The 23,005-nt window shown below is 39.7% G+C and overlaps 1 long non-coding RNA gene across 4 annotated transcripts in view, besides 4 other annotated features; it reads left to right on the forward strand.

Annotated features, from left to right (window-relative positions):
* Positions 1-5,180, forward strand: part of LOC101929174 (uncharacterized) — a 90,309-nt gene extending 85,129 nt beyond the window's left edge. Inside the window, exons 3-6 of one of the 4 annotated variants that reach the window (NR_188508.1) lie at positions 475-585; positions 1,369-1,602; positions 4,019-4,271; positions 4,766-5,180. This is a non-coding gene — a long non-coding RNA (uncharacterized LOC101929174). The remainder of the gene's footprint in view (positions 1-474; positions 586-1,368; positions 1,603-4,018; positions 4,272-4,765) is intronic. The other 3 variants (NR_188511.1, NR_188510.1, NR_188509.1) reach the window with 3 other exon arrangements.
* Positions 11,392-11,441: an enhancer, noted in NCBI's record as "active region_5383". NCBI's record gives its function as "activates an Ori minimal core promoter by ATAC-STARR-seq in GM12878 lymphoblastoid cells {active_cell/tissue: GM12878}" and the evidence as "EXISTENCE:reporter gene assay evidence [ECO:0000049][PMID:35858748]".
* Positions 11,482-11,591: an enhancer, noted in NCBI's record as "active region_5384". NCBI's record gives its function as "activates an Ori minimal core promoter by ATAC-STARR-seq in GM12878 lymphoblastoid cells {active_cell/tissue: GM12878}" and the evidence as "EXISTENCE:reporter gene assay evidence [ECO:0000049][PMID:35858748]".
* Positions 12,568-12,617: an enhancer, noted in NCBI's record as "active region_5385". NCBI's record gives its function as "activates an Ori minimal core promoter by ATAC-STARR-seq in GM12878 lymphoblastoid cells {active_cell/tissue: GM12878}" and the evidence as "EXISTENCE:reporter gene assay evidence [ECO:0000049][PMID:35858748]".
* Positions 12,648-12,767: an enhancer, noted in NCBI's record as "active region_5386". NCBI's record gives its function as "activates an Ori minimal core promoter by ATAC-STARR-seq in GM12878 lymphoblastoid cells {active_cell/tissue: GM12878}" and the evidence as "EXISTENCE:reporter gene assay evidence [ECO:0000049][PMID:35858748]".

The raw sequence follows: 23,005 nt of genomic DNA on the forward strand, positions 1-23,005 counted from the left end.
ATTAAAACAAAACAAAACACAGACAACATACCTCCTTCATCATGAAGCCTCCTTTAATTCTTACAAACAAACAAAACCTTCCTAAACTTTCAAAGGGCGTTTAAGAATACATACTAGTGTTTCATTAATCTTTAAGGAGAATTTAGTGCATGCTAGGTTCTGGGTTAAGCATTTTACATTTATTAACATATGTAGGTAGATACAACTTTTACTTCAATTTTGCATTTGAGCAGAAAGGTGCAAAGATGATAAAGTGACTTGCTCAAGGACATGGGTAAATGGCTGAGCCACTTATTTGCTGTATTAATAGAGATGATGTCCTTCATCCTTTACTGATGTTTTTACCATGTCTTATCCATACCTCGTTAAGTCTTTACATTTTACCCATTTATCAGCTAATTTATCTCAAGAACATTCTAGTGATGTGGCTATTACCATTTTCTTCATTTTATCAATTTTTTCCTCTGTTTTCAGGCTATAACAAAATATAATAAACTGGGTACCTTAGAAGCAACGGAAATTGATTTCTCATCGTTCTAGAAGCTAGGAAGTTCACGATCAAGGTAGCAGCAGAGTTGGTGCCTGGTAAGGACCCATTTCCTGGTTCATAGATGATGCCTTTTAGTGGTGACCTCAGATGATGGAAGAAGTGAAAGAGCTCAATTGGGCCTCTTTTATAAGGGAAAAAATCCCATTCCCTAGGGCTCTACCCTTATGACTTAATCACCTCCAAAATGTCCCACCTCCCAACACCATTACATTGGCGACTAAGTTTCAACCTGTGAATTTGGAGAGGACACAAATATTCAGACCATAGCAATCAATGAGTACAGCTTTACCCGTTCATGGGAAATATGTTGCAGAGCAAAAATTGGGCCAGGTAATTTGACTAAGGATTGCATCCTTCCCATGCTTCTGAGCAGCCTTGCCTAGCCTCAGTCAGGGTCAGCATGACCATGCTTTTGTAGGCCAGACCTTCTCCTTTACCACAGCCACCTGAAGGTCTAAATTGTGGAGATGGGCAGGGCATGGCCCACACTGGCCCAGGCTTAATTGAAAAGCCTGAAAGAGAGTGTGGGCAGTTCCTTCTGAAGTTATACTACTTCCAACAGAATTGGGGGTATCACTTTATTACTGGCCCATCATAGTTGGTCATAGAATATTAGGAACCAGGTCAATATAGAGATTATCCAATGGCTTTCACTGGCCCACGTCTTGGTATTGGTTCACAGAATGGTTCCTCCTCTTCTCTGAGAATGGAAAAAAGGTTCAGTCCCATTTGGCCAATATACACTGTCTTAGCTTGGGGTGTTATAATAAGATGCTACCAACTATATTGTTTAAACAATAAAAATTTATTTTTCACAGCTCTGGAGGCTGGAAATCCAACAACAGAGTGCCAGCATGATCAGGTTCTGGAGAGGACCCTCTTCCTGTTTGCAGACTGCTGACTTCTTATTGTATATTCCAATGGTAGAAAGAGAGCAAGAGAACTCTCTGGAGTCTTTTTTTTATAAGGGTGCTAACCCCATTTAAGGAGGTTTCCCCTCATAATCTAATTATCTCTCAAAAGCCATACCTTTCAACACCATTGCATTGAAGGTTAGGATTTCAACATGTGAATTTGTAGTGGGGTGACGGGGAGAGGGACACACAAATATTTAGTCCATAATGCATACTAACAAAAACTGGGGTAAAAGGTCACTGAAGTGAATCCTTGCAGTATTAAAGGACACGTTATACTTCATTTATCCTTTTGGTCCATAAATATTGAGCACACACTATGAGCTAAATTCTAGGTGCATGTTAGAGCATTGGTGGTACCACAATAAAATAGCCTTTTTCCCTATCCTCAGGGATTTTACAATTTTGTGAAAGAGTTATGCAGATAGGCAGTTAACCTGCAGGTGGTGATTGCTCACAAAGAGAAAAGCAGGGGGCTGTAAAATTAGAGAAGCTAAGCTCACTTACCCTGTATGGAGTTGGATACAGAATGTTTGCTAGAGGAAGTGGTGCCAAGTAGATTTAGATAAAGAAGAAGGTGGTGATGAGAGGACGGAAGTGATCGAAGGAATGAAAGGTAGTAGAAAGGAAATAGCACGCGAGAAGCTGTAGGAGAAAGGAGAAAGCGCACTTCCTGGCAAAAGGGATAGCACACACATAGGTTAGAGGTAAAAGGGCACAGCAAGGCTGCAGAGGCCTTGGGAGCTCAGCATGATTCGAATGCAGTTGTACAGGAGGACTGGCACACACTCTGCTTCTTGGAGGTTACAGCAACTGCTACTCTCTGAGGGTTGTGTTACTTATCTATCTACTCATCTAACAACATGTCATAACACACTGAGGGAATTCCTCCAGACCTTTGAACAAAAATGTTCTAACTTGATTCAAAATAATTTATACTCAACATTCTTAGTATCTTGCTTCAAAAATAAATGGACGAAGAATAGTATTCTGGCTACAGTTCCGTGTAACAAATTGCCCAACTGTAGTGGCTTAAAATGACAATTATTTTATTATGTTCACATAAGTGTAGGTCAGGGGCTCATAAAGGGCTAAGGGAGGAAGCTTTGCACACATCTATGGTGTGAGGCTACCTCCTAGACAAGACAAGTAATGGACCACTTGGCTTGTTTAGTGACTGTGTGGTAAACAGGGGCATGTGAGAGTTTGCTTAAAGGCAGACTTCCTCCTCTGGTCAGTTTGGTCCAGCCCATTCAATTGTGCCTTGCCTGGCCTTCCAGTTTCTGAATTCCTACTTAACATCTGAGATGGCTTGACCCTCATTCTGCACGAGAGTTTATAAATGAACTTTTGTGACTGCACCAGACTTCTAATGTCACAATGGCTCCGCCTGCATACCCTTCTACTCTATGTGGTTTCATTCTTCTTCCCTTCCTGCTCAGAATTAAGTCTGAATTGAAGCTCCAATAGTCTCATAGATATTCTCATAGATATAGATATTCTCATAGGTATTCTTATATATCTTGGTTCATTCCTGAGGGTTCTTGAACCTCTCAGTTATTTTTTCTTCTTTCACCCCTGCATAATTTGAGAAAGCTTATCAAAGCTGGGAATAGGAACCATGTCTCACTGGTTTCTTTTAAAATTTCTATTTAAAAATATTTACTTATTTTTTTGAACAGGTAATATATTCACATAGATAAAAATCCTAAGATGAAAATATAAATAAATAGGTTCCCTTCCTCCATACCATGTGCATCATAAATCCCCCCAATTTGTCTAGTACAGGTTCTCAAAACATTTACTGAATTTTTATAGTCAAGTTCCTCAATACGTACACCTAGTACATTGGTTGGATTTACTATAAAGCTGATGAATCTTAAGCCTCAGGGCTCATCACCTTCTGGGGCTCCTTCCAGGTCCTCTTCCAGAATCATCATCAACTTGCTTCTATGCCTTTGTAAAATATACAATTGTAATACATTTAAACCACATCATTTCCGTCTGTTGCCCCTTTCCACTGCAACCCCTTGGCATACTCTGCCTCCTATAAAGGGGCATTAGAGTAGCCTGTGGCAACTTTAGGATATAGAAAAGGGGAAATTGAAATGGGAGTACATTTTATTTGGGTTTAGTGAGAGTTTATGTGCTTTGCAGTCTTTTTGTAAATAGCTAAGTAATTGTTAAGTATGGCAATGTCAGTTCTATTCCTAACTGCTCGCCATGAAGTTTACTTAGTATCATAATGTGAACCTGCAGGGCCAGAGTTATTCTGCTATATATAAAAGTGCCCTATAGCATCTACAATTGGGAGTACGTAATGGAAAAGAAGATAGTAGCTATTAATACGAATATTGTTATTTTTCTGAATTTTGTGATGTTTGTGGTATCCATCAGCACTTTTATATTTGTAAATTTTTCCCATTTCTTTTCTTCATTTTCTAAACACTTTTCATACAATTTATTTGTTACTTTGCATTCCTTTTTTCTTAGTGCGGTGTCCAAAATTGTAAGAATCCTTTATCCCACAAAAAATTGATCCTGTCTTTTACAGAATTGCCCAGCAGATGTCTTTTTCATTTCCTTTGCTTGTGGTTTGCCCATCTGTCAGCTGTGAATGACCCAAACAACGTGACACGCTATTTCTAACTCAACAGTCCTGGAACTTTCTTGACCTTTGACAAAGCCATCAGATCACCATCACCATCATTATTGTTTATAGAAACATGAAAATTCAACCATAAAAAGTCATCTTGGGCTGAGCATGGTGGCTCTAACATGTAATCCCAGCACTTTGGGAGCCTAAGGTGAGAAGATCACTTCAGGCCAGGCATTGAAGTTCAGCCTGGGTAACATAGCCAGATCTCATCTCTACAAAACATAAAAAACCAGTTAGCTGGACCTGGTGTACATCCCTGTAGTCCTGGCTACTCCAGCAACTGAGGTGGGAGGATCATTTGAGCCTCAGCCTCTGGACCAGCTAGGACTACTCCCCAGTAGTGTGAGTGGTGTGAGCTCTGATCACACCACTGCACTCTAGCCTGGGCAGCAAAGCATAACCCCTTCTCCAACCAAAAAAAAAAAAAAAAAAAAAAAAAAAAGAATAAAAATAAAAAAGAAAGAAAGAAAGAAAAAAATCATCTTGGCTATGTCAATGCCAAAGTTCATGAGTTGAGAGATGAAGAAGACCAAAAAGAAAATCTTAAAGACATGATAAATTGGGGCAGGAGGGAGGAGATGGCTTCTTTGCTGCATTTTCTCCAAAAAACATTTCTGATTTTATTTCCAATTTGCTTAGCAGGTATGCTCACTCTTTCACTAACCTTGAGAGACATTGTCAGATGTGCATAAGGGAAGAACATGAAGGACGACGGATAAACTGTACACAGACACAGCACATGGAGTCTGAGTCATTTGTTTTCTCTGACAGATCTTTACCATGCTGGATTGGAAGAGAAAAGACCATCACTAAAGCAAATGGATCAAATGGAGTTATAAATCAACTCTGTACTCTACAGGATTGACTCAACTGCAGACATCTCCAATACACTCCCTCATGGCTTTATTTTTTCTGCTTATGTGGAAAAATAACAGTAAATACAGTTAACTATCCCAAGACAGAAGAGTATTATTAAAAAAGAATACAACGTTATTGATTTTTCAAGACATAATCAGATATTTTTAAACTCTGATTTAATAAAACATAATGTAATTTCTTTTGTGGGATTTTTTATGCTTTCCCAATGTTTATTACCCTGTGTGTTTCACACTTCAAAATGAGAGTATCGTAATAAGATCACTTGAGAGGATCCTGATCTAAGTTACAAAATCCCCATGGCCTTTATATCCACATTGTCACATTCCCCCAGTCATCTCTTTCTACTTTATTGTATCTATTACACTTTACACTTATTTATGTTTTTCTATTTACTTTATATATACAATATCATGGGGTACATAGTGTAAGAGGAAGGATGGCACTAGCAAGTATTCCTAAGTTGGTTTAGGGAATGGGAATAAGGGTAGGAAGTCAGGAAAGCTTCTTAGAAAGTTATTAAAGCTTTTTAAAGTAGTACTATGGCTGTTTTGTTCTCCATTCTCTACCTAGCACATAAGGGTTCTTGACATTTGGGAGTTATTGTGATATAAGGAACGGATATATGAGTAGATAAAAAATTATTTTCCAGGTAGACAACAGCTTGTTCAAAGAAGAAGGAATGACAGAGATCTGTATTTATTATTCATTGAAGGCCTACAATATGCTAAAAATGCTATATGGATATGGTTAAAGATAAATTTGAGTAGTGGCCACATTAGTAAACACATCCCCATCAGATCTGACAGCTTCACAGTTTTCAGCAATATTCAAAAAGAATATTACTTGGAAGGAGCCAGGCAGTTGGCGATGTAATTGGGCTACAGCTGAAACCCTCAAACCTCTAAATTGCAATTTGTATCAGGACATAAGTTCCCTTTGCTATTTAAGTCAGTTTGAGGTGGGTTTCTTTTATTTGCAACTGAAGCAACTGTGCTTTATGTCAGATAAGATAAAGATTAAAAAGGAGAAAAAGTGACATGTTCTCACAGAGCTGTTCTAAATGTGGTCTGAAGAACAACAGCAATAGCAGTACTGCCTTGGAACTGGATAGAAAAGAAAATTCTTGGGCCCCATCTGAGACCTGCTGAATCTCTGCGGGGGCAAGCTAGGCCTCTTCATTTAACAAGCCTTCCAGGTGATTTTTATGCAGGCTGAAATTTGAGACCTGCAGTCATGTGAGTTCCATAATCTGCATTTCTAATAAGCTGCAGGTACTCCTGGAAGGCAGGCCACCTTTTAAGTAACACTGTTGTAAAATATTCTGTTTATTGAGTGGGCTCAGGCGAGGGCTTCAGAACTTCAAGGGATGTATACTGCTTTCCTCACCAGAGGTAAGTCCCAAATAACTGTGAACACATTCAGGCTAGTTTCTTTCAAAAGGAAGAAGTGAAGCAGCTGGGAGAATCTCTCTTCGCTGTGTCAGCAGATCAACAATAAAGAAATATTTATCCCGCGGAGCGCGGTGGCTCACGCCTGTAATACCAGCACTTTGGGAAACCGAGGTGGGTGGATTGCTTGAGGTAAGGAGTTCAAGGCCAGCCTGGACAACATGGTGAAACCCCATCTCTACCAAAATACAAAAATTAGCTGGGCATGGTGGTGGTCGCCTGTAATCCCAGCTACTCGGGAGGCTGAGGCAGGAGAAGTGCTTGAACTGAGGAGGCTGAGGTTGCAGTGAGCTGAGATTGCACCACTGCACTCCTGCCTGGGCGACAGTGCGAGAAAAAAAAAAAAAAAAAAGAAACGTTTATTATCTCTTGTTCTTTGGCTACTAGCAACATGTATCAGTCTTTAATGATGATGAACAAACAAAAAGTGAAAATATTCTGAGTAATTAAAAGATAACTCAGTACAGCTTGCAGCAGCAGAAATGTGTAACCGTTCTCTTTAGAGTAGTACCACTGGATGACTTAGTTACAAAGATCTTGTACTCTTGTGTGTCTTCACTTAAGTGTGTCATTCCCAGCAGGAAAAGATCCGCTTAGCATTGGGCCCTGCTATCACCCATGTGTTTAGGGTTTTTGGGAGTTCATGATTGCCTGGCTTATAGTAATCACATGCAGCAGCTGAGATGCTGTTCCGATAAAGAGTTGCTGGAGATACAAAAACACAGATGTTCACGATAATGCCTCTAATACAGAAAAAATAAGAAAAAGAAAGTAATATATGGAATAGAAAGTTACATAAGAAAGCCAAAAGCTGAGGGATCAGAATGAATTTTGAAAAGTTATGACACTGATCTAACATGATGCATATATTTAATAAGAATACAAATAGTTAGCATATGGTAGTTACTGTGTATTCATGGTAGGTATGATGCTTGTTTCATATACAGCAGGGTTTCTCAATCCGGGCACTATTTACATTTATTTCCTGTTTTTTAGTGGGGTGGGGTGGTGTCTTGTACATTGTACTATGTACTGCAACGTCCTTGGTCTCTACTCACGAGATGTCAGTAGCTCCCCCATTCTTCACTCATGACAAACATAAATGTCTCCAAACTTTGCCAAATGTCCCCTGGTGTCAAAATTGCACTTGGTTTAGAACCACTGATTGAGATAAATTAGATCTTGGGAAACACATGCTCCAGTAAGAATAATTTTCAAATAATTTTAGGTAAAGTAAGTCTTGCCTTTGAAGGTAGGAGGCAGGTACCCGTTATCAGTGATTAGTAACTTTCTACTGATTCATTTAGATGCAAATGAATGTAAACATCTTTATCCTTCAGGAGATGTCCTATTTTTCCAAAGCATGTATTGTATAGGGGAAGGATAAGTTTTGGCAAAAGAGCTAACCATTTCTTGCTCTTTCTGACTTGGTGGCATTTGAAAATATAATGCTTTCTGAGGTTTGGGTAGAAAGTTGAAGGAAGTAAGGACACTACAGATCCCAGGTGGTATGTTCAACATTTCCTCCTATCCAGAAGACTTTAAAAGAGAAAAATGATCGTGGAGTTGAACATTTGGCTCCACAGATGGTATTGGCAATCATCTGAATTTCTGGACAATGGCCTAAGATATTGGAATGATGAAACTTGGATAATGTAGCTCATCTCACTGAAGTGGGGGACACTTGCTTGTCTGGAATAGCTCTTCTCAATATGTGGTCTGCAGAATACCAATTCTTGGGCCTTATCACCAACTTACTGAGCTCAGCAGGAAAAAGGGGTTGGAAGACACTGAGTTAGCTTCTGTAAATTAGCTTTACAGGTGCTCCTTATGCATTGAGTTTTGAGAATATATGGCCTACTAGATAGCTTTTTTGTCAATTAACAGCACTGAACTATGGAGAAGGTGAGAGAAAATGCTTTAAGATACAGAGTAAAGACAGAAAAACACCAAGTATTTTATAACTCTAAAAAAAGAAAATAATAAGACCAGAAGGGGTATATGTTCATATTCATATGTGAAGTTGAGATTAGCACATCAGGCAATCAATACAAATATATTAAAATTACTGAGACTTTCTGGGTTGAAGCTCAAACTTGGAAAATCGTGGCTTAAGGGTAAGCTCTTTCCAAAAACAGTACATTTTTGTAGTGTGGGAGTGTCAGATCCCAGGGTCCAGGTCCAGCCCATGCTGTGGTCCGAGGGGAGTGAGTGGATGGGCAGAAAGAACACGTGGGGGGCTGGGGGTGGGGTGGCAGCGGGAGGGTGTAGGCAGGTGAATATGGTTTTATTCAGCAGCCGCTCTCATCAACAACTTACTTACACTAGCTCTTTACACTGTGCACCTTTATCTTGGCCATCTACTCCGGCTCTGTGGCTCCTGCTGTCCCCATGCCTGCAGCTGTGTGGCTGGCTGTCCCTTGCCTTCAGGGTCAGCCGCTTAACTCTTTCCCTCCCTGGGCACCAGTGCGGGCCATGCTGTGGCTCTCCTTTGTCTGCAAGATGGACAGCTTTGGCTCTCTCTCTTTCTCTGGACACCAGAGCTTGCACAAGAGCCATGCTGAGCCAATCTGAGCCCCAAGAGCCCCTGTACAGTGTTAGCAGTGCAATTATACCTTTTACAGACAATAGTGGTTCAGAGCCAAGTATGAACTTATACAAACAGGTTATATAACAAAGAGAGGTGTGCACCTGTGCGCCAAACTATCTGAGTCATGAAGGCCTGGATATCTGCCTTGGCCTATCCTTGACCAAAGCACATCTATGTACCTTACACTCCACCCCCTAGGCCGAGAGAGACATTGGTTTTGGACACACAGGTTATGCATATAAGCTTTGCACACACAGGCCCAGTACATACGTATAGGCTTGACACATAAGCCTGACACATAAGCTTTGGGCACACAGGCCTGATACATACATAAGCTTCTGGGCATGCAGGCCCATTACATATACAAGCTTTGATAAACTGCCCAGCTATTGGCGCAGATTACAGTAGGTGTCACTTCCTTGGTGATTACCATCCACATTGCCCTGAGTTTAGCTTATTGGCAACTTTGCCTACACCTGGTTTTAAACCACGTGGTGTCAGTACTAGGCTGGGCTGCACCAGCACTCCAGGCAGCAGTAGCACCCCAGCTAGACCCAGCTGTGTACCATGCCCTATTAGGAATGGGGGGATGCCCTTCCTAATGGTGAAGGCTCAGGGTCTAGGGGTGCCTCACGCCCCATGGCCTTATCTTGTATTAGGACTACAAGCCCTAAAACCTCTTGTAACTCTGCTGCTAAGGGAGTCGTACTCAGCATACTCCGCTGCTCTAAGTAGGCACCCTACTTCATTAAAATGGATGTCTGCACCATCCTTGTCCAGGGGCTCATTATCCACGAATGCACCCATCCAGCTACAGGGCAAGTTGCCTGCATGATGACTGTAACCCATCCTGCCATGCTCTTATGGGCCTGAAGGGCAGCATATGCAGTCACTAGCTGCTTTCCCAGTCTGGGGGCTGGTTACCCAGGAACACACCCATCCTGCTATTACTAACTGCTTCTCTATTAACACCAGAGCTCAACTCCCTTCCACAGCTGAGACTAACAGCCCACTGGCACTTCCAATCACTCCATGCACTGCTATAGGCCCCAGCCAAAACTATCTGTGGTTAGATGTACATCTAGTGTAAATGGGCACCCTTGATTTACTACACAGAAAGGCTGTCTTAGCCTCATCATCCTAATTCCAGACAAGAAAGGGCACTGCCACTTTTCAACCTGCAAGAGAATCAGAGGTTAACATTACATTATTAACAAAATCACAACATATGTTGGGGCCATACAATAGCCCTGCAGCAACACTGTGAAAGTTCATTGTTGCCTTCCCATGAAGGCAAACTGTTCCTGGCTCTCAGTGGACTGTCCCTATTCTGTTGTCAAATGGTCCATCAAGCCCATAACAGACATCACAGTTACCAAACCATGCAAAACATTCAGCCCCAGAATGCATCAGGTATGGGAGAGACACAGTGCATACACAGAGAGCAAAGCGGCCCATGCCAAGATGCAAAGACACAGGTTTTCATTTTCACTGACTGGTCTTCACAGCCATTAATAAATGCAGCTCTGCCTGGAAATTTATCCAGGTTCAGGGACCAGTAGATTGCCAAGTCCAAAGGTAGCTCTGGTTGTCCGGTGCCCCCCTACAAGCCGCGCATCTCGACCAGTTCTCTTATCAAACAGAAAAGGCTTTACACTCCCGCTAATGGCAGCAGGTACTCTTTGAAGTGGAATGCTAGGGCAGGACTGGGTCGTGAAGCAATATCCTTCTCCCAAATGACCTGCACTAAGTCTGTACGTGACTGCCGACATTACTTGCTTAACTCCCACAACTTAGCGGGGACACAGGCAACAAAGGTAATGTGTTTCACCACAGTAGTGGGGTCTCTGGCCCACCCTTGGGGCCTGACAGCTGCTCATGCTCTATTTTCAGGTGGATCACTGGGTGAGCCTGCAATGGAGGTTCTTCCTTCTCCCTGTGCTGCGTCCTGCAAGGACTGGGCATGCACGCCCTACAGCACAGTCACAAATGGCCATCTGACTCTGCTTGTAAAGGCATGCCTCTTGTCAATGCTTGCACTTCCAGGTGATGCAGCGCCTTCTCCACACTCCCAGGAGACCCATCCACTATCATTTATGTTTCCCATCCATGCAGCACCGCTGCCACCAGGTACCACAGCTCATGCTGCAGCCTCATAGCCAACCAGGGAGCCCTCAGGGACTGAAGATCTGCCCACCTCTTCCCATCCATATTTGTCAATTGTCAGATCGTGGGGTCCAGGTCCAGCCCATGCTGCAGTCTGAGGGGAGTGGGTGGATGGGTAGAAAGAGCACTTAGGGGGCTGTAGGCAGGTGAATACGGTTTTATTCAGCAGCAGCTGTCATTGACAACTTACTTACACTACGTTACAGTATGCACCTTTATCTTGGCTGTCTGCTCTGGCTCTATGGCTCCTTCTGCCCTCAAGCCTGCAGCTGCACCACTGGCTCCCCCTTGCCTTCACGGTGAGTAGCTTAACTCTATATCTGGGCACCAGCGTGAGCAGTGCTGTGGCTCCCCTCTGTGCATCTGCAAGACGGGACAGCTTTGGCCCTCTCTCTGGGCACCAGCACAAGATCCATGTTGAACCAAGCCGAGCCCCAAGAGCCCCTGTACAGCTTTAGCAGAGCAATTATACCTTTTATAGGTAATAGTGGCTCAGAGCCAAGTATGAACTTACAAAAACAGGTGATGTAACAGATGGAGGTGTGCGCCTGTGCCTCAAACTTGCTGAGTCATGTAGGCCTGGATATGCACCCCGGCCTATCCTTGACCAAAGCACATCCATGTACCTTACAGGGGGGCAGGGTTCTACTGTATATCAAAGTGTGTATACTGTGGAAATCTTTACATTAGATTTTAGAGTCCATTTTCATGGTGATAGCAGGAGAGGAACAGAGGTGACATCATAGTAGCTGTACATACAAGCAGCAGATACCCATAACAGAAATGAGCAACATGTCCCAACTGTCATGCTCGACCCATATTTCCTTCAGTAGGGATAGCATCATGTATAAGAGGCCAAAGAAGAGAACTAGAGCCAGTGAATAAGACATAGGATTTACTGAGGGGACTCACATGCAAGGTGGTCCAATAGTAGCAGGCTAGACAGGAGAACTGCAACCACTTGTAAAAAATATGAAGTTTATATAGTATTTTCACTTAGCACCCTCCCCTTAGCACAACCTCCACCTGGCAATCTTCATTTAAGCCCATACAAAGGGCCTCGATCCTCTGTATGACCTGTATTCCATGGGATGGACTGAGGGTTCATATGTTCCTCATACATAAGGCATAAATCTCCAGGTTGGCCACTCCCAGATTCCTTAGCTCAAAACTCTGAACACACATTCTTCTTAGACCATAGGGGCATTCTCAGGGTATGCTGTTACTGCCATCAGGTGCATCTGCCATACACCAACCAAAGAAGCACACAAAGCCAATCCCACAGCATCTGCAAAAAACACTCCTTCAGCTAAAAGAGTAACAGATTCTTGACTTTTTGATGATTTTGTTCCTGAGAAAGAGAAAGTACCTAGGGGGAACTGACACTTGAGGCCTAAACATATAGTGAAGTGAAAGAGACTTGCCTGTGAGTAGAAAGCTGCCATATGTTGCTAGTTTGTAATAGTGAGAGCAGGAAACAGTAAGCATAGCCTGAAGTTTGCTTTAAGAATCAGATTTCAAGAAATTCGGAGAAAAAACGATAATGACACACCATCATAAGACATCTGGAAGGGAAGTCTACTAGAGAAATAGGAAAGTTCTAAAAAAAAAAAAAAAAAAAAAAGCAATTCACATTGTATATTGCAAGTGGCCTCAACCAACAACAGAAAGACATGATTTTAAAAACCAGTGGTGTCATACAGAGAGTTTGCTGAAATGGCCAGATTTTTAAAAGTAGTATGTATATGTCAGAATAATTGATCAGATATTAAATTGTTTTGTTTACCTTTATTTTTCCATCTCCCATTCCAAAAAATATTTCATCAGGCTAATTCATTGCCTCATTATTTTCTCTAGAGTGAGAAACAGAAGCTTCTTAGATCTATCACTCTTCTTTATTTTTCTGTAAAAGACTTAAAACTTATGGAGATTATGCTATTCATGTCCCTGAAAGGTAGAGATGACAGTGATATAAATACTTTTGAGAGATTTCCTTAGCCTGGGAAACAGATAAAGGTTGATGGGTTCTGAAAACAGCAAGTTCTCATGTCCCATTATGATTCACCCTCCAGAGTGTTTTCAGCACCATAGAGCATATGCCTGTGTGGAGCAGCTAAGGATAGCTGTATGCTATCCATATGGTAGCCATTGCCATTACCCAACTTAGAAAAGATGCCTGTGCCCTAGGGAATCAGCAAGGCAGGATCATGTACGTTAGGTCCATGAACATCTAAGAAGCCATCCGTATCGGCTGATATACAAGGACGTTCCTAATACTCTGGTGCCTACCTTGGAACTTTCACACAAACTTCGATAAAATAGTAAAGAACTCCAACAATACATTATATCAAATTTATTATTAATAAATTATGTTGAACTCTTACTAGTTGTGTGATGTTGAGAAACTTAATTAGCCACTTGAGCTTCAGCTTCATCTTCTGTAAAATAGGAATGATATATCTTATAAGGTATGGAAGATTAAATAAGATAATGTAAATATGGTGGCAACATAGTGTCAGAGACATAATGGGAACTGAGTTAATAATTGCATTCTTCTTTTTCTTTTCCAAGTTAAAAAAAAGTTCTTGAGATTTCTGGCTGGGCTGACAATTGAAGGACTATTTTAAAGTCTTCATAGGAGGACTTAGTCCACTCCTTCATGAGTGAAAAAAACTGGAGATATATTTTCTTGAGAGACTGAGAGAGGCTATGGATTTGGGGAGACTCAACAGAACAGTAAAGCTCCGTACTTAAAACAGTATGTATTGGTCACGTTTTGCATTCCTATAAAGAAATACTTGTGGCTGAGTAATTTATAAAGAAAAGAGGTTTATTTGGCTCATGGTTCTTCAGATTGTACAGGAAGCATGGTGCCAGTATCTGTTCAGCTTTTGGTGAGGGCCTCAGGAAGCTTACAATCATGGTGGAAGGTGAAGCAGGAGGCAGGTATATCACATGGTGAGAGTAGGAGCAAGAAAGAGAGGGAGGATGTGCCACACTCTATTAAACAGGTTGAGTGTGAGCTGGGCAAGAACTCATCACCAAGGGGATGGTGCTAAGCTGTTCATGAGGGATCCACCCCCATTATACAATATTTACCACTAGGTCTCACCCCCAACATTGAAGGTAATATTTCAATGTGAGATTTGGAGGGGACAAACATCCAAAGCATGTCAGGGGGATTAGATTAAAGTCTATATTGAAGGTAAGATTTCCCATCTCAGATCCATTTGTTCAACTAGCTTCAAAATGTCAGTAGCTGGGCTTATATCCCCTGATAGAAGTTTAAAGGATTCTCCTCTGGAGGAAAAGTGAAAGAAACACAACTGATTCAGAGAAGGGGCCTACATATACTGAAATTTGGAGAAGTGTAAAAAAAGTCTAAAATACTTCCTGGTCAGTTTAGAGTGATATATACCAATTAAGAAGCCCTGAATATATGCACAGAACTTTCAATAAGCTCTTTAGGGTCTCACTTTTAAATATGAATAAGAAACAATCACTGAATATTGTGGGACATACCTAAAATGAAAGACAGAAATAAAGCAAACAGAAACGAAAGAGGAACTTAGAAAAATTACGGACAACCCAATAAGTAGAAGAAAATATGAAAGAAATTATAATTAATAGCCACAGAGATAAGGGAAGATATTGTATTGGTGAGATGTAATCCAAGTGCTTTAAAAAACAATCAGAAAGCAAGAAAATTATCAGAAAATAAAATATGGTATTCAAAATTTTTAAAAATGTAAAATGTTTAGAATATAAAGTCAATGAAATCATCCACAAAGTACAGCAAAAAAGGCAGAGATAAAAATGGAAGAAATAGGCCAGGTGCGTTGGCTCACGCCTGTAATCCCAGCACTTTGGGAGGCCGAGGAGGGCAGATCATGAGGTGAGGAGATCAAGACCATCCTGGCTGACACGGTGAAACCTGGCCTCTACTAAAAAATACAAAAAATTAGCCAGGCATGGTGGCAGGTGCCTGTAGTCCCAGCTACTTGGGAGGCTGAGGCAGGAGAATGGCGTGAACCGGGGAGGCGGAGCTTGCATTGAGCTGAGATAGCACCCCTGCACTCCAGCTTGGGTGACAGAGCGAGACAATGTCTCAAAACAAACAAACAAATAAAATAAAATAAAATTTAGGGCATTACTTTAGAAGGTGTTGTTTAGCCAAAGGATTTTGGGAACAAAAGGAGCAGGAAATGGAAGGAAGGAAATTGTCAAAGAAATGATAAAAGAAAAATTCTTAGGAGTTTCCTGGTGGAAAAGGCCCACTGAGAATTCACCCAAAGAAATAATCATAAATTTACAATGATAAAGGTTCATTTTAAATTGATCTAGGTAGTAAAAAACAGTATATATAAAGATTAAGATGTATAAAATTTAAGATTCTTTATGTTAAGAATAAAAAATTGTAGATAAATGCATTAATTTTTTATTATGTACTAATCTAAATTTTGAGACGAAATTTTTTTTTCAGTGTAGAATCATAGCCCAGCTCACTAATCAATCAGGTATAAGGTAAATTTAAAATAGTTTCAGCCATATAAAATATTTGTCTGCATGTAGGTCTTCTCAGGAAGCTGCTAGATATGTGCACCACCAAAAAAAAAAAAAAAAAAAGGGAGTAAACCAAGACAGGACAACATCAAATTGAGGAAGCAGGGAACCAAACACAGGAACCAAGTGAGGAGAATTCCCAGAATGATGACAGAACTTCCAGGTCTTCCACCATGCAGCACAACTTATGTAGACCAGCATCCAGAGCAAAGTACAGGACAGGAAATCTCAGCAAAGTCTCTGAGGGGGAAATGGAATTGGCAGGTGTTCTGTGTATAAAATTGTGTATAGTTGTCAAAAAAGTAGGGCCAAGGCGTAGCTATATATTTACTCTAAACGAATGGGACAAAGAGGAGGTTTTAACACCAGTGTAAGTAGGAATTTATTCAAGAAAATAAATGTAGTGATAATAGGCTACCTGTTTCATCAGTGAATAATATTTATAATACCATAATTATACAAATACTAAACACAGATTTAACCAATACTTGTCATAATAACTATAATGGGGGAAGAGAGGGATGAAGGGAAAGGGAGAATAAAAAAAAGTTAAAATCCTCATTTTCTATAATAGGAAGTCAATTAAGAATGTTTAAATATGATCACACAGAAGATAACAGTAAATATGTATTTTAAATTTTTTTGCTTTGTAGTAATGTATAGGAGATTGAAAAAAAAAATGTCGAAGAAATCTCATGTACCTTTCACCTAGTTTTATAAGAAACTGCCTTATTCTTCCAGACTGGTCGTACCAGTTTATATTCCCACCAGCATTGTACGAATGATCCAGTTTTTCTGCATCATCAGGATTTCTTGTTATCACAAGTTTTCATTTTAGTCATTCTGATAGATGTCTGGTGGTTTCTCACTGCAGTTTTAATTTGTCTTCTTTTAATGGCTAAAGATACTGAACATCTTTTTATATGCTTATTACCATCTATTCATGTCTATTGCTCATTTTCTAGTTGAATTCTGTAATTTTTTACTGTTGTGTTTTGAGAGTTCTTTACGTATTCTAGATACTATTCCTTTGTTGGATATATGGTTTCTAAGTGTCTTCTCTCAGCCTGGATCTTACTGTCTTTTTATCTCCTTCACAGGGTCTTCTGCGGAGAAAAAGTTTTTACTTAAAAAAAAAAAGAGATCAGTTTTACATTTTATGGAGCATGGTTTTGTGTTAAGAATAGGAACTCTTTATATCGTTTTAGGTCCTGAAGATTTTTGCATATGTTTTCTTCTTTTCTTTCTTATTTAAATTGACGTGTATTTTTCCCCCCAATCTGTATGTCTAATTAATCTGGCACGATTATTTTGAAGACTATAATTGCTCCATCAAATTAGCTCTTGGACCTTTGTCAAAAATCAGTTGATGATATTTGTGTGGGGCTCTTTCTGAGCTCTTTGTTGTGTTCTATTGAATTACGTGCCTATCCCTCTGCCAAAACTACATTGTCTTCATGGCTGTAGTTGTGTAATAAGTTTTAACATTAGGTAGGGGGATTGCTATCACTTTATTCTTCTTTTTCAAAATTGTTTTAGCTATTCTAGGTCCTTTAACTTCTGTATATGTTTTATAATAATTTTGTCTATATTCACAAAAGTTCTTAGTGGGATTTTAATAGAAAGTTTGTTAAACCTATAGATCAATTTGGGGAGAATTCATATCTTTACTGTTTTCGGTCTTTCGATGCATAAATGTAGTATGTCTCTTCATTAGTTTAGGTCATCTTTTATTTATTTTATTAGTATTTTATAATTTTTATCATATAGATATTGTACAAGGTTTTTATATTTATACCCAAGTACTTTGTTTTCTTTGGAACATTTGTAAATGCCATTTTGTTTTTAATTTTGCTAGTATGTAGAAATGCAATTAACTTTTGTGTGTTGATTTTGTATCCTGCAACCTTGGTGAACTCGCTCATTATTTTTAATATTTTTTTGGTAGATTGCTTGGGATTTGCTATGTAGACAATCATGTCTTCTGTGAATAAGGATAGTACTACTTGTTCTTTTTCAATTTATATGCTATTTATTCATTTCTCTTAACATATTATGCTGGGTAGAATTTCTAATACTATTAATATGTTAAATAAGAGTGGTGAACACTTTTTTTTGGTTTTTGTTTCTTCCAGTTTTAAAATGTTTTTTTAATATCATTTCTTTGGTAATATTTCTATTTTTAATTGTTATAGGACTATTTGTAATGTTCTTATTTTTGTTATATGTGCTTTAATATCTGTGTTAAATAATTTCAACATCAGATTCATCTCTATGTCTTTTGATTGTCTTTTTGTGTTCAAGTTGAGATTTTCCTCAACTTAGCATAGGACCTTTTATCCCAGCAGAAACCTAATATACATTTGCAGAATTGAATTTACTTAAATTGAATTCTTTTTTTTACAGCAAAATGTTTTTCTCATCCCAGAAAGACAATAGAGCAATGAAAAACCTATCAACTTTAGGAATTTTGATATTCATGTCTTTCCAAATGCTTTCTCTCCCCAAATCCAGCTTTCTAGATATGCAGCTTCTCATCCAAAGGAAAGTGTTGGTGTGATGTAAGCAGTGCCAGATCCAACTCCAGCTCTCTTTACTGTTTATACCCCCCTACCCCACCAATGGAAAATTCACAGGAAGACAGACTAGGCAGCTTATGTCATCTTGCTCTGGGAAGCAGCCGAAAACCAACTTTTAAACTCTATGTGATGCCTAAAGCAAGTTACTGTTTAGCCCACATGTCTAGTATTTTGATCCTCGGTTCTTTTATATATATATATATATATATATATATATATATATATATATATATATATAAGTTCTGGGATACATGTGCAGAACATGCAGGTTTGTTACATAGGTATATACATGCCATGGTGGTTTGCTGCACCCATCAACTCATCATCTACATTAAGTATTTCTCCTAATGTCCCTCCCCTATTCCCCCAGCCCCCGACAGGCCCCAGTTTTCCCCTCCTTGTGTCCATGTGTTCTCATCGTTCAACTCTCACTTATGAGCGAGAACATGTGGTGATTGGTTTTCTATTCTTGTGTTAGTTTGCTGAGAATGATGGTTTCCAGCTTCATCCGTGTCCCTGCAAAGGACATGAACTCATTCTTTTGTATGGCGCATAGTATTCCATGGTGTATATGTGCCACATTTTCTTTATCCAGTCTATCATTGGTGGGCATTTGGGTTGGTTCCAAGTCTTTGCTGTTGTGAACAGTGCCGCGATAAACACACTTGTGCATGCATCTTTATAGCAGAATGACTTATAATCCTTTGGGTATATACCCAGTAATGGGATTGCTGGGTCAAATGGTATTTCTAGTTCTAGATCCTTGAGGAATCACCACACTGTCTTCCACAATGGTTGAACTAATTTACACTCCCACCAACAGCGTAAAAGTGTTCCTATTTCTCCACATCCTCTCCAGCATCTGTTGTTTCCTGACTTTTTAATGATTGCCATTCTAACTGATGTGAGATGGCATCTCATTGTGGTTTTGATTTGCGTTTCTCTAATGACCAGTGATGATGAGCCTTTTTTCATATGTTTGTTTGCTGCATAAATGTCTTATTTTGAGAAGTATCTGTTCATATCCTTTGCTCACTTTTTGATGGGGTTGTTTTTTTCTTGTAAATCTGTTTCTTTGTAGATTTTGGATATTTGCCCTTACAGGTGTCCCTCTTATGGGTAGGCAGAAAGAATATTTTTGGTACAGCTATTTTTAATCAGAATAAAATATCCCCCGAGGTCACTTGAAGTCAGAAAAATAATACTACTTAATATAGAGCTCTATTTTAATTCCTCAAGTTCATTTATGAGAAAGATGTATGTCTTTAACGGATCTTAGTCTGTCAATCTCTTTCTCCTACGCTTAATGTATTGAATAAGGCATGTCTTTATCCTCCAGAAACTCACAATCTGGTGTGGATATGGCCACATTAACAAACAATAATTGTATATACTATTTGATACCCTTTAGGTATGTACAAGTTTCTGTGGAGACAGGGAAGGAACAATGAACTATTTCAGGGCCTCTGGAAGGGCCTAGTCAGTGTTTGAAATCTATGGCAAGTCTTAAAGATTGAATAAGAGTTTATTAGGCAGAAGAAAAAGGTATATTCCAGAGTGGGAAGGCATGGGTAAAGTCATATGAAAGAGCCTGGCGTATTTTTCAGTGACCACAGAGGAGTTGAGCATGGCTAGAGGACAGCATAGGTGAAGGCAAGTGGCAAGAGTTGATGCTGGAAAGGGGTGCAGTCTCCAGTCCTCCTGGCTCCTTTACGTCATCACTCCTGTCCCCTAGAAGACACTAGGGCAGCAAGTTTATGAAGAGCTCCACCTTTATCTTTCTCCAAAGTGTCTCCTTTACCCAGTCTTTGCACCATTTCTGTTTGTTCTGCTTCAGACTTTTTGAATTTACTTCTGGGCCTCAGGCTTTTGTTCTCAACCCTTAAAATTTGATATTATGCATTCCTGCTAGTTTCTGTGCACCTCTTTTAATACATGACTCCTGTTCTCTGTCCCAAGAAGACTTTCTGAGACCACCTCAGTCCTTGGAGGCTTGTTCTCTAGTCCTGCAGCTGTGAGTGGCACTACGTTAGGGCCATATCACAAAATGCATTATGCAGCATGCTAGGGAGTTTGAATTTTGTTTTGAGGCCAACAGTGAACTATTTATGATTTGTAAGCAAGGGAGTAACATGAACAGAATGGTATTTTGGAAAATATGTCTCTGGCTGCAGAATGGAAACAAACTGGCAAGTGATAAGAATAGAGGCAGGGCAATCCACGGGGAAGTTTTTTAATGGTTGAGACAATGTATAGGTGATGAACAGATAACAGAATGGAGATAGGGAAACAAATTCAAGTGGGAGCTAAATAATGTGTATACAAGGGCATAGTGTGTGAAATAATAGACTTTGGACTGGGAAGGGTGGGAAGGTAGGAGGAGGCTAAAGGATGAGAAATTACTTAATGGGTATAATGTACATTATTCAGGTGATGGCTACACTCGAAGTCTAGACTTCACCACTACACAATATATCTGTGAAACAAAACTGCACTTGTACCCCTTAAATTTATTTATTTTTAAAGGGGTCAGTCAGTAGGTAGAATGTCCTGTTATCAACAATCATCATAATCAACTTAGGCCAATCTTCCCTTTTACTTCTTAGAAAGACCTACTAATTTATTTACATTTTTTCTTTTTTTTTTCTTAAATTCTTCTCTTCAACTAAAATAAACAATTATTAATTCACAGAAATAAACCTTAAAAGCTAACTTTGACATCATCTAAGGCCCTTCATTCGCTGATGACAAAATAGAGGCTAAAATTGTCAGAGGTCACAAATACAGTTGTTTTCCTGTTTTCTAATGTAGTTTTCATGCCATTATACAGGGCTTTTGTTTTTCTTTCTACTCCTTATTTTTGCTTACATAAATTCTCAGTCAAATAAAACTATGCATTGTTTTCACATTCTGAGCTCTTTCTCCAGGGAGCAGGCAGGACTTAGAAAGGTCTTGTGAGAGAGAAACAAAATCCATCTACAAGTAGCAAAGATTCTACTCACCCACAGAGCCTCATCCCTCAGTCACTGGGCTGTAGAGCTCTCTCCTGAGTTGTTTTGTGTTATCATCCCGCCTGCTTCCAGCCTGGCGCTTATGCCTCCCCCTGGAAAGCTCACAATGTCTGGTTGGGGTGACTTTAAATGGAATGTCACCCCAGTGACACTTTTGTGGCTTTCCATCAGCATCTTCCATTAAGTGCAGCCAAGTGAGTGTCTGATGGACTGTGCAAAAGAGGCAATTTCCCAATTATGAGGAACTTCAGTTGTTTTAACAGTACCAAACCCTGTCATACACTTCTACTAAGGGAAGATACTGCTTTTTAGTAGGCACAGAGTACGATTCCCACACATAATAGTTTCTGTACTGAACTGTTTACCTTTAAAAGTCCACCCACTACTTCCATGTAACTGGCAACTGTTGTTAAATTAAATTTCTAAGTCAAATAAACAATATGTTTTTGGGGGGGATTCAGGACTAAAGAGCTTTGTGAATATCAAATTGCTTTGTCGGGGTTCACTCCAGGAATATTTCTTTTTTTTTAATCCACTGTCTATAGCTAATTTCAGAGTTTGAAGGTGTCCCAGAGTTCAGGAATGATTCTATGTTGTTTACATGCCATTGCTAAGACTCTTTAGTATTTCTTTAACCTCTCCCACAGAGAAAATTTCTCCCCAGCCTTATTTTTTTCTTTCAGTGAAATTTCTCCTTAGTACAGAACGAAATGCAGCTTCAGAAGTATCTCAGTATAGAATTTATTTTTCACAGATGAATATACTTACAGTTTCAAAAAAAAAAAGGAAGTATTATCAGCTGCAGCTCATTAGTAGACTTTATGATCAAGAAGGGACTTCAGAGGTCCTGCGTCTGATAGTTTGCAAATCAAATCATACGTCAGCATCAGTGTCACCATCTACCAGGTGGGATACGGAATGTGGGAAAAGAAGAAGGGGAATCTGAGCCCCACACTCCTACAGAGGAGAATGGTGAAAAGAATAATCACAAAAGGCTAAAGAATTTGCTGTACTGGTTCCTTGGTTGGTGGGTAGAAAACATGGATCTAATTTCCAGATGAGGAAAATTGGACAGAGAGAGTCAAGGGTTGCTCAGTGTCACACAGCTAGCCACTGGGCATTTGGAGTAGCAACTCTGAGTCTCTTGGCTCTACAGTTGTTTTTGTTTTAACTTTTAGCTTCAGAGGTACAGGTATAGGTTTGTTATATATGTAAATTGTGCACCATGGTGGTTTGGTGTACAGATTATTTTGTCACCCAGTTAATAAGCATAGTACCCAATAGGTAGTTTTTCTATCCTCACCCTCTTCCCACCCTTCACTCTCAAGTATGTCCCGGTGTCTGTTGTTCCATTCTTTGTAATGTGCATCTTGTATATGACACCATAGCTGCTATTGGGTCCACGCTTATGCCAAGTAAGACTGTCAATAAAGAGAGATGGAACCTGCCTCTCTTTCCTTAAGAGAACAGCTTTTGGAGTCTGAGATGTCTGAGTTTGAACTCGTCTTTCTCCACTGTGTGACTTTGGGTAAGATGTCAGGTTTCTAAACTTCAATCACTTCATCATTAGTATGGCAATACTGATGGCAAATATATACTATACCAGGTATATATGAAGATCAAACCATAAATGTATACATTTTTTT

Source organism: Homo sapiens, chromosome 11 (assembly GCF_000001405.40).
Source record: "Homo sapiens chromosome 11, GRCh38.p14 Primary Assembly".
Taxonomy (NCBI): domain Eukaryota; kingdom Metazoa; phylum Chordata; class Mammalia; order Primates; family Hominidae; genus Homo; species Homo sapiens.